Genomic DNA, 774 nt, shown 5'->3' with positions numbered 1-774 from the left:
CAGAGTCCTGAATGCACCAAAGACATCCCATTCCAAAGTGAACTCCTGGTTCTCCCTGTTGCCCACATCATCTGGTCCTGCTCTAAATTTCCTTCCATCAGTCGTGGCCTCATGCACTCAGGCTCTGGGGCTTGAAGTCTTAGGGTTGCTCTTAATGCTTGCCTCTCCGCAGGCTTCACCTCTAATCTTCCCTCAAACCTTTCATCTCCACCCAGAAACACCACCTCTGTCTCTCAATCTCCTTCCTAGAGCCCCACAAGGTCTCCTGTGAATTTTCTTTATCTTTCACTAGATCTCCCACTCAAGTCCATTCTCCACTCAGCTGTTTGTGTGGAGCTTTTTTTTTTTTTCTCCCAAGTGTTCAGGTTTATTGACAGCATTAGGGGCTACAAGGGAGCCCTGGGCATCTGGGGGCGAGGCCTGGCATTTGCCTGGACAGTGGCCCAGGAAGCGGCCAAGAATGGAGTCTCCCCCACCCAAGTTTACTTGAAAGTGTGGCTCTCGGGTCCACCCCGCCCAAAGCCTTTAGGCCCAAACATGGCGGCGTAGCAGGGGTGGTTGCCGTAGGGTTTGCCTTCATGCTCAGCGTGGCCCCCGGAAGTCAGCGTCTTCCCACATTTCTCACACTTCAGGCAGGGCCGATGCCAGTCCTTGCCTAGAGAGGTCACCCTCTCGGCGAAGTACACCTTGTCGCACGCGGGGCACTTGGGCATGGCGGCTCTGGGTCCGGTGCAGGCCGCAGCGGCTGGGGCGGGACGGGCTGCAGGCGCGAGA

General features: G+C 56.2%; 1 pseudogene; it reads right to left on the bottom strand.

Annotated features, from left to right (window-relative positions):
- Positions 347 to 774, bottom strand: CRIP1P4 (cysteine rich protein 1 pseudogene 4; annotated as a pseudogene).

Source organism: Homo sapiens, chromosome 22 (genome assembly GCF_000001405.40).
Source record: "Homo sapiens chromosome 22, GRCh38.p14 Primary Assembly".
In the NCBI taxonomy this organism is placed as follows: domain Eukaryota; kingdom Metazoa; phylum Chordata; class Mammalia; order Primates; family Hominidae; genus Homo; species Homo sapiens.
Note: the sequence above shows the minus strand (reverse complement) of the source record. Positions and strands in the feature narration are given on the sequence as shown.